The sequence below is a fragment of the Homo sapiens genome, chromosome 13 (genome assembly GCF_000001405.40).
Source record: "Homo sapiens chromosome 13, GRCh38.p14 Primary Assembly".
NCBI lineage: Eukaryota > Metazoa > Chordata > Mammalia > Primates > Hominidae > Homo > Homo sapiens.
Genome location: NC_000013.11, coordinates 30,358,888 through 30,373,326, shown reverse-complemented (window position 1 = coordinate 30,373,326; position 14,439 = coordinate 30,358,888). Strand labels below are relative to the sequence as shown.

Here is a 14,439-nt window from a genome sequence, read left to right as displayed (position 1 = left end):
ACTCTAGACAATGCATGTAAGGAACAGAAATGGGAAACAAAAACATTTAAATTGTATTTTTCTCTGATTGCAATAAACTTGGAGGAAAGCTATTTTCTTACTTTGAGCTTTTCTTCCAATTATGATGAATGCAGAGATTAATTACAAAGGACCCGGATAAACTAAAACTCATCTACAGCATTTTTTTTTTTTTTGAGATGGAATCTCGCTCTGTTGCCCCGGCTGGAGTGCAGTGGCGCGATCTCGGCTCACTGCAAGCTCCGCCTCCCGGGTTCACGCCATTCTCCTGCCTCAGCCTCCTGAGTAGCTGGGACAACAGGCACCTGCCACCACGCCCAGCTAATCTTTTTTGTATTTTTAGTAGAGACGGGGTTTCACCTTGTTAGCCAGGATGGTCTCCATCTCCTGACCTCGTGATCTGCCTGCCTTGACCTCCCAAAGTGCTGGGATTACAGGCGTGAGCCACCGCGCCCGGCCTCTACAGCATATTTTAAAAGGCAAAAAGGTATTTTAAAATTCATGTTGGAAGACGTGGGCTCTAGCTGGGGCTGAGACAGATGATTCAACTATATTTTTTATTTTACTGCGCACTGAGGGTTGAAGCTGAAGAGCATGCATGCTTACCATTGTGTGTGCACATGTGTGTATGTGTGTCTTACACCAAAGACTGAAATCTCAAAAAAGCCCCAGGGAGCAGGTGTAACTATTATGCTACAAATGAACAGGTGTATTGTGGATCGCTGTTATATAGTTCTTTTCTTCAAACATACCTTCCTGATATAACGTTTTCTTCCTGAAAGCAAACAGTTTCTACTATTGGATTCTTGAGTGTATCATTAAGCTTCTCCAAACACAAATAACATCTACTATGCTTTAAAAGTAATGGCCCACACAGCTACTTATTTGTGTGACTGTTTATCTGTTTATACCTTTGCCTGTTTTTATCTTCAAGCAAATGGGGGATCTCAGAAGTCTTAATGAAGTAACTATCCCTGAACACTGGGATCAATACTCAGCATCCAGCTGTCAAATCAACACCAAGGTATGTACCGGGGAAAGGAAGGTTTTAGGTGAACTCCTAGCTGCATGTCTGGTTAACCTGCAACCACACAAAGCAGCTGGGGTAAAGGTGTGTCCCGATGCCTTGTGGTGTACTTGGAACTCCACAGCCAAAAGATTAGACGTTGTTTGCTCACTGTGTTCAAAACAAGAGGTGTAAAGGAAGTTCAGCAACAACCGAAAGATGACTCGTAATTTGTAACTGACTGGCTATGCTTGGCGAGCCTGGTGTATTTATAATCTTTCAAAGTCAAGCGCAAAGGCTCCTGAGCCTCATGCGTCACCCAACTGCAGCATTCCTGTTGATCACGCTGGCTGTCACCATAAAGCCTGAGCAAAAGTAAACTTTTCTGTCCCAAGGGTTTCCTTGTACTGAAAGAGCCACTGCTTGCGGCTTTTTACAGGATCACAACCAATGTCTGTTTCATGCGGCAGGTCCCTGGGGACTGTAATTGCAGAAGTATAACCTGGCGGTTATGTCACATGGCCCAAGAAACTGCCAGGAGACCAACATGCTTCCTGCCAGACGACCTTTTGCAGCTGAAGGCACTAGTGCCCCATCTGCGGTCGCTGTCTCTGTATGAACAATTCTCTGATATTCCCTGGGCAAAAAGAGGTGCTTGTTGACAACACTGAGTCAAAACTTGGAACCCTGAGCCCTCAGTCTGCCACCATATCATTTTCCTGTTAATGGAGTGTTAATTAACAAGGGTTTTCGTTTTTATGAAACGAACTGTTTTTAAGTAGGAGGATTTCCTACCTTTGAATCAACTCAGAGCTCATTTCCTACTAAAATGATAGGTGATATCAATATAAGGATGTGGAAGATTTGCCCAGTTTAAGCGTTGGGAATGGAGGCCTAGCTGCATGGCTGAGGGGATTTGGGCCATGCATGGCCTCACTGGTTGAGGACATGGATGCTGGAGATGCTTAGGTCTGGGCTTCTTTGTCTCTTTAGCCTCAGTATTCTCATCTGTAAAATGGGGTGATGTGAGAAGTCGATGAACTAATGCACATGAATAATGACAGCTAATACTTGTGTGGCCCCAACTACATCCCAGGCACTGTTTTTCTGTTAACTCATTTATTCCTCAGAGCAATCCTATGAGGGAGGTACTATTGTGGTCAGTCCCATTTTACAGATGGAAAGCTGAGGCACAGAAAGGTTGGTAACTTGCTCAAGGTCACGCAACTACTAAGTGGCAGACCTGGGATTTGAACCTATGCCTGACTGTGGAGCCCATGTTCTTATGATGCCAAGTTGCACCTTTTGTAAGACAGTCAGTAGGTGGCATACACTTGGTAAGTACTCAGTAACTATCAGAACAGGGTATACAGCGGATCACCTGGAACAGAAGCCATGTTTCTCACCTCTGTTGGCTATGGTGCAAGGCATGGGTGACCTTTAAGGGCCTAATAGTGCTGTCTACTTATCAAAGGCTCAGCTTCTTAGCTGTGGCCACAGGAGACTGGGGCAACCAGAAGTCTGGTAGGGTGTCAAGCCAATAGTCATCCTGGGGATGATGAGATGCCACCAGATTGCTGCTGACTTGGGCCAAGTTGGTGGCAGGCACTTCAGGCCATGGGGGGAACCAGGCATGAGAGCAGGGTGTGGCAGGGAGGAGACACTTGGTCTGTGTGTGTGTGTTTAGGGAGGTAGATGGGAGCCTCAGGTGATTTCGGGTCTTGGGAAAGATAGCTTGGGATGGAGAGTTGGGTCTCAACCCTTGTCTCTCACTCAGGTCTATACCTAACTGGAGACACTGAGAAGAAGAATCAGGGATGAATGCAAGAAGGTGATGTGAGCCATCCCATCCCCACACCTGTGTGTTAAGGAACATGGGGATGTTTTAATAGTAAAGAAATGCCCATAGGATGTTTGGGGGTGGTGATGACTTCCGGTATTTCCTCTCAAAAGGCTAAAAATACTGACAGTCTTGTGCTGAAACTGGCTTTAGATTTTCACCCTGTTTGTCATTCTGCTCTAAGACTGGCTGGGCACTATTCTAGGGGATGGTGATTCAAAGACAGTAGAAAGCACATCCCTTTCCTCAAGATACAACACATAAACATATAATAGAAATCAATAGGGTCATCCAGAAGTAAGCACTGGGGTCATGGGAGCTTTGGGAGGGAAGAGGCAGGGTCAGAGATGGTGGGGGATAACAGCTGAAGGTCAGCCTTTGAGGCAATGGGAGGTGGAAGCATGATCAGGTTTAGGAGAGGAAGGCAAGGGATGAACAGCTGCATCTTGATAGGGCTTAAAATGTCAGTCTAGGCGAGGTAGAAGATAAAGGTGGGGAGGTAGGGCCAGGTGTAATATATATTTTATTAATTTTTTTTTACTTTTTTTTTTTTTTTGAGACGGAGTCTCACTCTGTCACCCAGGCTGGAGTATACTGGTGCCATCTCGCTCACTGTAACCTCCCCTACCTGGGCTCAAGCAATTCTCCGGCCTCAGCATCATCAGTAGCTGGGATTACAGGCGCCCGACACAATGCCTGGCTAATTTTTTGTATTTTTAGTAGATACGGGGTTTTGTCATGTTGGCCAGGCTCGTCTTGAACTCCTGATCTCAGGTGATCCACCTGCCTTGGCCACCCAAAGTGCTGGGATTACAGGCGTGAGCCACCGCACCTGACCTAGGTGTAATATATAAAGGAGTTTGTGCTTTATTGGCTGGTCAGAAATGTTGGTGTCATTAGATGTCTGAGTTGCTTATTTATTATCATTATTTTATTTTTTAGGGAAGTGTCTCACTCTGTCACCAGGCTGGAGTACAGTAGTGTAATTATGGCTCACTGCAGCCTTGAACTCCTGGGCTCAAACCATCCTCCTGCCTCAGCCTCCCAAAGCACTGGGATTACAGGGGTGAGACACCACACCTGGCTCCGAGTTGCTTTGTAAACAGATCCCCCTGGCAGCAGCATGGAGGATGAAATTCATGAGGGAAAAAGCCAAGCCAGGGATATCTGTTACAGTAAATCCAGATGAGATGATGAGGGCTTAAGCTAAGACTGAGATCATGGGAAAGCCAGGTAAAAAAAATAAGTAGGACTTGAAGTTTGATTGGTCATTGAATGAGGGGCCAGGAGACAGAGAATGAGAATTCAAGGATGGCTTCCAGGTTTCCAGCTCAAATGGCCAAGTAGGTTGTGGTAACACCCACTAGTTCACAATCACAGGGAGTGGTAGCTGGGTTGGAGCAGGAAATGATGGGGTTAGCAGGGAACATGCTGAGTTTGAGGTGCCTGATGAGTATTTAGGGGGAAGGTCCAGGAGGCAGTTCCAGAAGTCTTGGCTAACAGCATCTGCATCGAGTGCATTGCTGAAGCCTCAGAGAAGAGATGGGCTCGGCTGGGGAGAGAGTGAGTAGGGGGCAGACCAGTGCTCCAAAGAGAGGACTCGGCAGTGCCGGCAGCCTGAGGCTATGGTGCATCAGCTCAAGGCAACTGGTGTGGCTCTGGCTCTGGTGGGCAAAGATGCTGGGGCCTACACTGGCTTTGCAGGCGAATGGGGCACAGAGGGCCTCTTTCAGGGATTGGTGCATTTGGTCTCAGTTCCAGGTGCAGGGCTGGAGAGAAGGGTGGGACTGAGGAAGAGAAAAAAGTCACAGCCCCCTGCTGGCTACAGGGGTTCTTTAAAAGGGGAGCATTCAAACGTTAGTGAAACATCATTAAAGGTCCTGTTCATTGAGGGTCCAGGTAGCGGTTCTTTTTTTTTTTTTTTTTTTTTTTTTGAGATGGAATCTCACTCTGCTGCCCAGGCTGGAGCGCAGGGGTGCGATCTCCACTCACTGCAACCTCCACCTCTCAGGTTCCAGCGATTCTCCTGCCTCAGCCTCCCAAGCAGCTGGGATTACAGGTGCCCGCCACCACACCCGGCTAATTTTTGTGTTTTTAGTAGAGATGGGGCTTTGCCATGTTAGTCAGGCTGGTCTCAAACTCCTGACCTCAGGTGATCCGCCCGTCTCGGCCTCCCAAAGTGCTGGGATTACAGGCGTGAGCTACTGCGCCCGGCCCCAGGTAGCGGTTTTTAAGCAGATGAAGGGGTAGAACTCACCTGTCTGGCTTTTTGCAATTGTACATGCGCTCCTCCTCCCACGGGCCTGAGATTCTCACAGGTGTGTGATAGGCGTGGGAGTTGTCCTTCGGGAGCTGGCAGTGGGGGGTCCATTTTGTGGACCAGAGTCTCCCTGGGATGATTCTGATACATCCTTACCCGACGGAGAATGCACCATTTGCGGTGAGGGAAGCAGTGCTAATGGGAGAGAAGGCTTGGGACCCTCCTTTGTATTTTGCACCCCTAGGTTGAACCATTTTCCATCAGGACTTAAAGTGTCTCGCTCCAGCCTAGTAACAGCACAGTCCCACCATTTAGAATCTCCACAAGTTCATTCACACTGCAGGTCAACAGCAGGTCAACAACCACATAATCATCACTCAGCCACACGGCGTGTGAGGGAGGTGAGGGGCAACACCTGAAGCCATGGGACTTTTTGTAGAACACAATGAAACATTGACGTAATTTTTTCTCTTTTTTTGAGACAGCGTTTCACTCGTCGCCCAGCCTAGAGTGCAATGGCGCTATTTCGGCTCATTATAACCTCCGCCTCCCGGGTTCAAGCAATTCTTCTGCTTCAGCGTCCCAAGTAGCTGGGATTACAGGTGAGCACCATCATGCCTGGCTAATTTTGTATTTTTAGTGGAGATGGGGTTTCACCATACTGGCCAGGCCGGTTTCAAACTCCTGACCTCAGGCGATCCGCCCTCCTTGGCCTCCCAAAGTGCTGGGATTACAGGGATGAGCCACCACCGCGCCCGGCCTTGATGTACTTTTTCTATTAAATGATCTAAGAACAATTTTACGGGCAGAAAGTATGACTGTAATAAATGTATGCAATCCAAAACTACCACCCACCATCTATGAAAATACAAAAATCAAGCTGTCATGCCAAATCTAACTGGTTACTTCTGTTTCTCTGCTAATAGTCGTTAGCTACACTCATTTATTTGTTTTATTGTGACAGTGTCCACTGTCAGATAAGTAAGAGCAGGTGCTGAAATTTTAAGAAACATTTGAGGGAACATTTTCAATGGAATCTGTTGAAGTTGAGGTGCCTTTAGTACACTAGTATAACTGCATCACCCCTGAGTGTTAGCGATAAGTGCAATGATTTAATTTTACTGTGGAACTCCCAAGTCCAGCTTATGGAATAAATTCCGGATCATAGTTTGAGAACTACTGGCTTAAAGGGTCCCATTTCTTGCTTCTTTAAGTGTCAAACAGTGACTGTGAGATATATATATATATATATATATATATTCCTGGCCCAAGTGATGGGCAAGCTTCAAAGCAGTTGAGGACTCCAGTCAAAACTAACTGTGCCCCCTGAGTGTTCTAGCTCTGAGGATTTGGTCCCTGGCTTCTTCCTTCAATCTGCACCATCAAGAAGCATTCTTGGCCAGGTGCAGTGCCTCACACCTGTAATCCCAGCACTTTGGGAGGCCGAAGTGGGTGGGTCACTTGAGGTCAGGAGTTTGAGACCAGCCTGGCCAACATGGTGAAACCTCATCTCTAACTAAAAATACCAAAATTAGCTGGGAGTGATGGCCTATGCCTGTAATCCCAGCTACTCAGGAGGCTGAGGCACAAGAACTGCTTGAACCTGGTAAGAGGAGGTTGCAGTGAGCCGAGATCATACCACTGCACTCCAGCCTGGCCAACTGAACGAGACTCTGTCTCAGAGAAAGAAAAAAAGAAAAAAAATCTTCTAGGCTCTGCACATAGGCCATGTGCTAAAATCAGCATTCCAAGGGCCAGAAGGACTCCTAGAGGCATCTTTCAGATGCTGACACTAGTTCAGAGCCTCACAGATAGCTCCAGTTTCTGCCTAAGTACCTTCAGGGACTGGGAGCTCACTACTTCCCCCAAAAAAGGTTCTTATGAACCATCATCTCCTATCTCCACCCTCTAAAACCACCCAGTTCTTAACTTCTGCTTTGTTTTTGCTATCAGCACTCTCTGCCTTGTATTGTTGTTATTTGGATACTTAACTGTCACACAGTGGTAAGGGCTTAGGTTTTGGAACCACTTGCATTAGAATCCCAGCTCCGTATTTATCTCCACCATTTACCAGCCATGTGACCTTGGCAAATTACTTAACCTCTCTGAGCCTCAGTTATCGCCTATATGGGATGGGAATAACCTTAGGGTCTATTTCAAGGATTATTCGGAGGCCTAAGGTAATGGGAGGAATCTGCTTGACATGTAGAAAGCTCTCAGTACAGCATAGATATTATTATTATTCCTCTGCTAGACTACAAAATCTCTGAGGGCAGGGACCTCTTCTTGGATATCTTTGAACCCCTCCATAACAGTGGGCAAAGTGTCTGTCAGAGGGTTTTAATGAATGCATCACACAAAAGAGACCGTACTGAACAAGAGAGACAGGAAGCTTGGATAATTATTTGAATATCTACAGTCATCAGAAGGCTTATAAATGTAAAGCCAAAGCTCCTGCCAAAGAAATGTGTGGAGCAGAAAAGAAAACCCAGAGCAGAATGTCAAGAGCAAGGATGTGTTGGGACAGGAAATGAAGACGAGATTGGGAGAGGTCATGCAGAATCAGGTCACATTCTGGAGGGAAGAAGGAGCAAAGGCACATGATGAGAGAGTGCTAATTAAGGTGGCCAAAGAGAACAGTGTGGTGCTGTAAATGCCGGCAGAGCAAGGAGCCCTGCTGCCAGCCTGACCCAACACAGTCACGTTGATGAAAATGGAAAAGGATGGCTGGAGGTAATGATAATGTATTACAGATTGCAAAATCGCTAGAAGAGAGGGTTTTGAATGTTCTCATCCCAAAGAAATAATAAATGTTTAAGGTGCTGGATGTGTTAATTACCTTGATTCGATCATTACACAATGTACACTTGTACTGAAACATCACATTGTACCCCATAAGTATGTGCAATCATGTCAATCATAAATTTAAAAATTAAATTTTTTAAAAAAGGAAAAACAATCTTTCCACCACACAAATCATTTTCTGAGCCTGCACATTGGCATTCATCTTTCCTCCTACGCTTGTGGCCTTAAAGAGGAGGAGTATGATTGGCAGCGTGGCAGCCTCTCGATATTTACGGACCCTAGCGCTCACTCCTGGCTTCAATGGTGTTTTCAGCTGGAGCCTCTTCCTGCCATTCCTTTCCTCTCTGCATGGCTGCTGATGCTCATCCGGGAGCAGGAAATGAGTGCATTCTTGGGCTTTTCTGCAATTAGTCTTCTAAAGAGAAAAACAAAACCAAACAAGAAAGAAAACTGAAGGTTTAGGGATATTCTAAAAACTTTTACAGGCTGGCCATTGATGGAGGCCAGTAAAGAACGGTGGAGGCTGGCGACTCAGCCCCTCTGGATTGGGGGTTTGTGGGAATTTATCTCGGGCTCTCTTATGTTTATTCTACACTTCCAAATAACTTTGAAGGTTTATTTGGAGATTCCAATATGGGAGAGGAGGCCCTTGCAAACTCTTGAGTGTGCAGCGCCCCATTTTTTGGGGGGAGAAAATGGCTTTGGGAGAGCATGCAGAGGGGATAGGGCACTCAAATCTCCACCCCATAGATCACTGTGTCGCCTCTCAGGTAGGGGTGTGCTGAATAAATTAAAGGTATTATTGTAAGTTGGAAGTGTGCTAGAGCCAGGTTGCAGAGGCACACTCTCAAATCCGCCTTCAGTGAAACCACAGAAATATCCAAATACTACACATGGGGGCTTTTTTTCCCCTTCCCTGAGAATCAGCTGGTAATTTACTGGCATGTCACTGCATATAAACAAAATCCAAGAGGAATCAGTTAACCTGCTGGACTGAACAAGGAGTTTGGCATAAAACTGGCCAGATAAACAGATAAGGCTGATTGTGTTATGTCTCCCTTCCTTAATGGAAGCCTGATAGGAATGAGGCCCACGGTGACTCAGCAGTTAGTTCCCTTTACTGCGTAGCCTTGGAAGTAATGGAGTGGGCTTTCATGATTTTGCTTCTTTCTTCTTTTCCACTGAAATGGAGGCCTTCAGTTGCAAAGTTCTCCATTGTCAGATTACGCTGCCTGATGGGCATGAAAAGTCCACAAAAGAGAATTTTCTGATGTGAGAATGGAGGGTGTTGCCTGCAACTACCCCAGATCCCTGCGGTGGCAGTTTAAGGTAGGTGGGAAGGCTCTAGACGTGTGGGACTGGAGTCTTGTGTTCTTTGCCTCAAAGCTGAATTCTGACTCCTCTTTCAGCCTTATACCAATTTCCCTTAAGTGACCGTCTGCACATAGAGGTGCTATTGAGGCTGGAGAGTGGTGAGTTCAGCTTCAAGGTGCACTCTAGAGATAGGGCTTGGGCCTGTGTGTATTTTTGGAATTGCTCTCCAAACATTCCAAAAACTGAAAGCTTCGAGGTCCACTCCACCAGCTGACCTAGTTTTTCAGCTAAAAGACCATGGCCTGGCCTCCTAAAGTCGTATATCTATAGATTCCAGCCAGGTGGGACCCATGGTGCCCATTTTGTTAATTCCAAAGACACAGCATGGTGTAGGAGAAAAAGGATGGAATTTCAAATACAGAAGTTTGGAGTCAGACTTATGTTGAAGGCAAAATGAATCTTTTGTGTCAAAGTCAGAAGGGGCCGGGGGTTTACTGAGAAAGGGCACAAGGAGACGTTCTGAGTGATGGAAACATCTTTCCCCTTTTGGGGTGGTAGTTACACAAAGTGCATCCCTTTGTCAAAATTGATCAGACTGAATACTGAAGGTCTGTGTCTTATTGAATGTAAATTATACAGCAGTTTTTAAAAGGACAGATTCCAGTCCTGGCCCTGCCTCTTATTTACCATCTAGAGAAGTTCCTCACCTCTTTGAGACTCAGTTTCTTTTTCTATTAAATGGAAGTAGTGCTTATACCCATGCTTATACTCAATACGATCATGCAAGCAAAAGCGCTTTGTAAATGACAAAAAGCCTCGATAAGCGGATCACTCCTATCGTTATTCTTTCCATCCAGCCGCCTCCTGGAGCAGATTGTTAAGCTGATGCGAGTCTGGGCTCTGCCTCACCACTTGTCTCAGAGGTTAGTGTTTATCTATTTTAAGGAGACTCTGGAGATATCAAAATGCTGCAGAAAAGCAAATGGAATATGGATTTGCCAGGGAGAGGAGGGCGGGCTGGAAGGGAACAGCTGGGGAGAAAACTATCAATCCAGCTCAGCAGCAGGGCCGGGCGGGTGCCGAAATGGAGTCGCTAAATGCCTGAGAGAGAATCGTGACCAGTAAAAGCAGCATGAGTTTAAAAAAAAAAAAGAAAAAAAATCACATCTTGCCGAACAAATTGGGTCACATTCATGATGGAGTTAGTCACTGAGAGCACAGATGGGAAAGCAGTTTTAGGGCAAAATGCAAAAGATTTGGGGACCCTGGTGACTCAGCTGAACGTGGCAAAGGTCACTTGGGCATCCTGGCCTGGGCTGGGGGTTAAATAAAGGCTCTTCCTGTGGCTCCTGCTGTGAGTCTTATCATACTTTTGATTTGAACTTGAACTTGATCTTTACTCCTAATGGCCACCACAAGCTACTTTTTTTTTTTTTTTTTTTTTGAGACAGGGTCTTGCTCTGTTGCCCTGGTGTTGCCCAAGCTCACTGCAACCTCAACTTCCTGGGCTCAAGCAATCCTCCAACCTCAGTCTCTCAAGCGGCTGGGACTACAGGCATGCACCACCATGCCTGGCTAATTTTTAAAATTTATTTTGTAGAGACGAGGGTCTCACTATATTGCTCAAGCTGGTCTTGAGGCTCACCTCAGCCTCCCAAACAACTGGGATTGCAGACATGAGACACTGAGTCTGGCCTACAAACTACCTTTACATCAGAATCAAGAGCACAGTGTACAGTTTTAAAAAGGAAAATCATAGAGAGAAGTCAAGTTAAGTGGAGGCTGAGAAAGCAGGAAGGCCATTCTGTAGTTCACCCTCGGAATTCAAGTGGGAGAGGACAACCGCCTAAACCCAGCCAAGCTTCTTCGTGATTATGCTGGCAAAGTCCTTTCAGTTTAGAAACTTTTAACCCCAGAGCCAATGTCCTTTGACACTAAAATCCTATAAGATGATTGAACAGTGTCAAAATAAATGTTAAATTGTTAGCCACTAAAATAAAGTTAAAATAGGGAAAGATTTAACAGGAAGAAATAATCTAAAAGAGAAATCTGATGTGCGAAATTTTGATTTTATCCTCATTATAAACATTTTGGTGCTTTCTGCTAGCTATTTCTGCCAAGAAATGTGATATGTTGAAAAAGAGGAGGAAATGTACTCTCTCTAGATGCTGTGACTATAAAAGTCTGTTTAAAATGATAGGAATCAGTCAAGGTTCTCCCAGTGACCAAGGTTGTAAAATTAGAATCTTAAACTACCAAATCAGGGTGAGAAAAAAATTTTCAACAAAAGCAACATTTAAATTTATTTTATTATAATTTCCATTATCCCACAATGTTTGCATTTTCTCTGGACACATCAAATTTCTTTCTTTTTCTTTTCTTTCTTTCTTTCTTTTTTTTTTTTTTTGAGACGGAGTCTCACTCTGTTGCCGGGTTGCAGTGACGTGGTGCGATCTCAGCTCACTGCAACCTCCACCTCCCAGGTTCAAGCGATTTACCTGCCTCAGCCACTCAAGTAACTGGGACTACAGGTGTGCGCCACCATACCCAGCTAATTTTTGTATTTTTAGTAGAGACGGGGTTCACCGTGTTGGCCAGGATGATCTCAATCTCTTGACCTCATTATCCGCCCGCCTCAGCCTCCCAAAGTGTGGGGATTACAGGCGTGAGCCACCGCACCCAGCCCACACATGGGATTTCTTAAGTTGTTAATTCCCTACCCTAAAATACATCCTTATTGGAGCAAAGCAGGGGACTGAGGAGAGATCAGGTGGGGTGAGGGGCACCGTGAGAAGGCAGGGCATCTTTCCCGCGACCTCTGAATCTGAGAGATGCTGACGGTGCATCAGTATATCAATGTCAATACCCAGGATGCTGAATGAAGCCTAGGTTGGAGGATCCTTCCAAACCCAGGTCTTTGTCTTGCTGGAAATCTTGTGCCTCTTCTCCTCTGCCATCCTGTCTCCCACCTCAACACTTGAGCTCTACTGCTCTGTTAATTAGCACATGGAGTCTGAGATTGGGCCTTTTGCATCCAGGCACTGGCTTCATATGGTTCCTCAACCCCCTTTGTTCCCAGGTCTTCAGGAACCATGTAAGATGCAACCTCCCCCCTAGGTCTCTTGTGGGCAGGGACTCCTTAGAGGATTTCTCCTTCCAATGCCCTGGCTTTGGGGCTGACAGACTTGGGTTTGACTTGGCTCCATCCCTTATTGGCCAGTTAGATAAGCTCTGTGAACGCTGACTTCCCTGCCTTGGAGGGTGGCACACTGACAGAAGTAGCCGATACCCATGAGCTGTAATTAGCTCAACACTTTTGGCAGTGACTTGATGGGAGAGCTCGATGGCAAGTTGCCCAATAGGTGACAGGAAACCAATGGATGTGAACTAAGAAGAGGGATCCATGATCCCCAGTCATAAATTTGGGACATGACTGGGATAGCCCAAAACAAAGGCTGTGTTCTTGTCCCAGATCAGCTTTCCAAGTGCAGGACTGGGACGTGTGGTTCAATGGCAACACGTGTGAAATAGATTTAGAAGTGTCTGGTCCACAGTGACCTCCTAATGGGGACTGGGACAGGACAGGGTAATCTGGGTCAGGGTTCTTCAGTTGCAAGCAAACTGAAACGGACTCTAAATCAGAAAAGGGATCTTTCTGGAAAGGTATGGAATAGTTGTTGGATGCTGAAGAACCAAGCTGCAGGAAAAAGAGAACACCCCCCACAACCCCACCCCTGAAATGGGGTTATCAGAACTTCTCTGTTCCACTGTTTTCTGTTACATTTTTCTTCCAAATGCTCAAGACTCTGGAAGCCAGAATCTTAAGGCTTAAACTGGGTTCTGTGTGCTACTGTCCTCTGAGTAGGAGGGGCAGGGAGAACCAAGACTTCTCAGAATAAGGAAGAACAGCTCTCTAATGAGAAATCACAGTGCTTTTACCCAAAAAAGTGGGAGGGTTTGCTTGACAGGCCAAAGCAAGGGATCTCCGGGATGCTGATTTTAGAAAGGTGCACAGAAAAACAGGGAGATGATTCCACCCTACTCCTTCCTGGCCGAGTTCTGGGCAACACACTTTCAGAGACTTTTGACTGCTTGGAGTGAGAAGGGATAGGTTCAAAAGCAGCAATTAAGATGCAAATATCTGAAAAACATGACATATAAGCAAGGTTGAGAGAACTGAAGTGATCAAACCCAAAGGAGAGAAGACCAAGTTGGCATCTAATTGCAGCCTTCAGGCTCTGTGAGGCTTAGAATGTAGATGGAGGACAATTTTGCATTCACTGGTTGTGAAAGGAAGACCTAAAATCAAGAAACAGGAACAGATTAAAGAGGAACAGATTTTATCCCATTATATGTAAGATCTTTCCAAGGAATGAAATGAACTGGGTTGTAAGGTAGGGAACTTCCCATTTCTGGGAAACCTCGGATGCTCAGTTACCTTTAGCAATAAGCGCATTCCTCACAATGGATCACAACACACTTGGGCGCCATGGCCCTGCTGCTGAAGATGCTGACCTAATCATGGTAATTCAGGGCCAGAAACTGCACTCCCTATTTGGCCACATCTGCCAAAGAGCACATTTCTGAATGTGGAGTTCCAGACATGGGCAATGTGAGTGATGATGGGGAGAACAGGAAAGAACTCCTCTGTACCCCTAACCACCTGCCCAGGCCCTACGTGGTGCAAGCCTGCCATGCGGAGTGCCTTACATGACAGCACTGCTTCACCAGAGGACTTCTTTTGGGATGTGTTGCATTGACCCACTTCCTTCTACACACCTTCCAATGGGAATGACATGACGTCTTCCTTTACCTCTGAACAATATTCAATAAATACATATTGAGTCTCTACAGTGATACCTATGATTAGGAAACTAGAGTATACATATTTCAAAACATCATGTTGTACATGATAAATATATATTTTTTTGTCACTTAAAACATAAAAATAAATAAAAAGGAAGCTAGGGTATCAGAGTTGGAAGGGCCTTTTGTGATCAGTGTGTTTACAGTGCTTGAATATACCCAGTGGCATTTCTGACAAGTTGATTTGTAGCCTGGTCTTGATTCCTTTCTGAAACTCACAACCTCCTAAAGTCGTCCACATACCACTTGAGTGGTTTTGGTTGCTAAAATTCTTTCTTACTGTAGGCTAAAATCTACTCACAATTTGGCCATATCTATCAAAATTTAAAA

General features: G+C 45.6%; 1 long non-coding RNA gene across 1 annotated transcript in view; it reads left to right on the top strand.

The window, feature by feature from the left end:
- Window positions 1-14,439, top strand: part of LINC00426 (long intergenic non-protein coding RNA 426) — a 33,649-nt gene that overhangs the window by 588 nt on the left and 18,622 nt on the right. Inside the window, exons 2-4 of the long non-coding RNA NR_024464.2 lie at window positions 953-1,042; window positions 5,610-5,726; window positions 10,101-10,166. This is a non-coding gene — a long non-coding RNA (long intergenic non-protein coding RNA 426). The remainder of the gene's footprint in view (window positions 1-952; window positions 1,043-5,609; window positions 5,727-10,100; window positions 10,167-14,439) is intronic.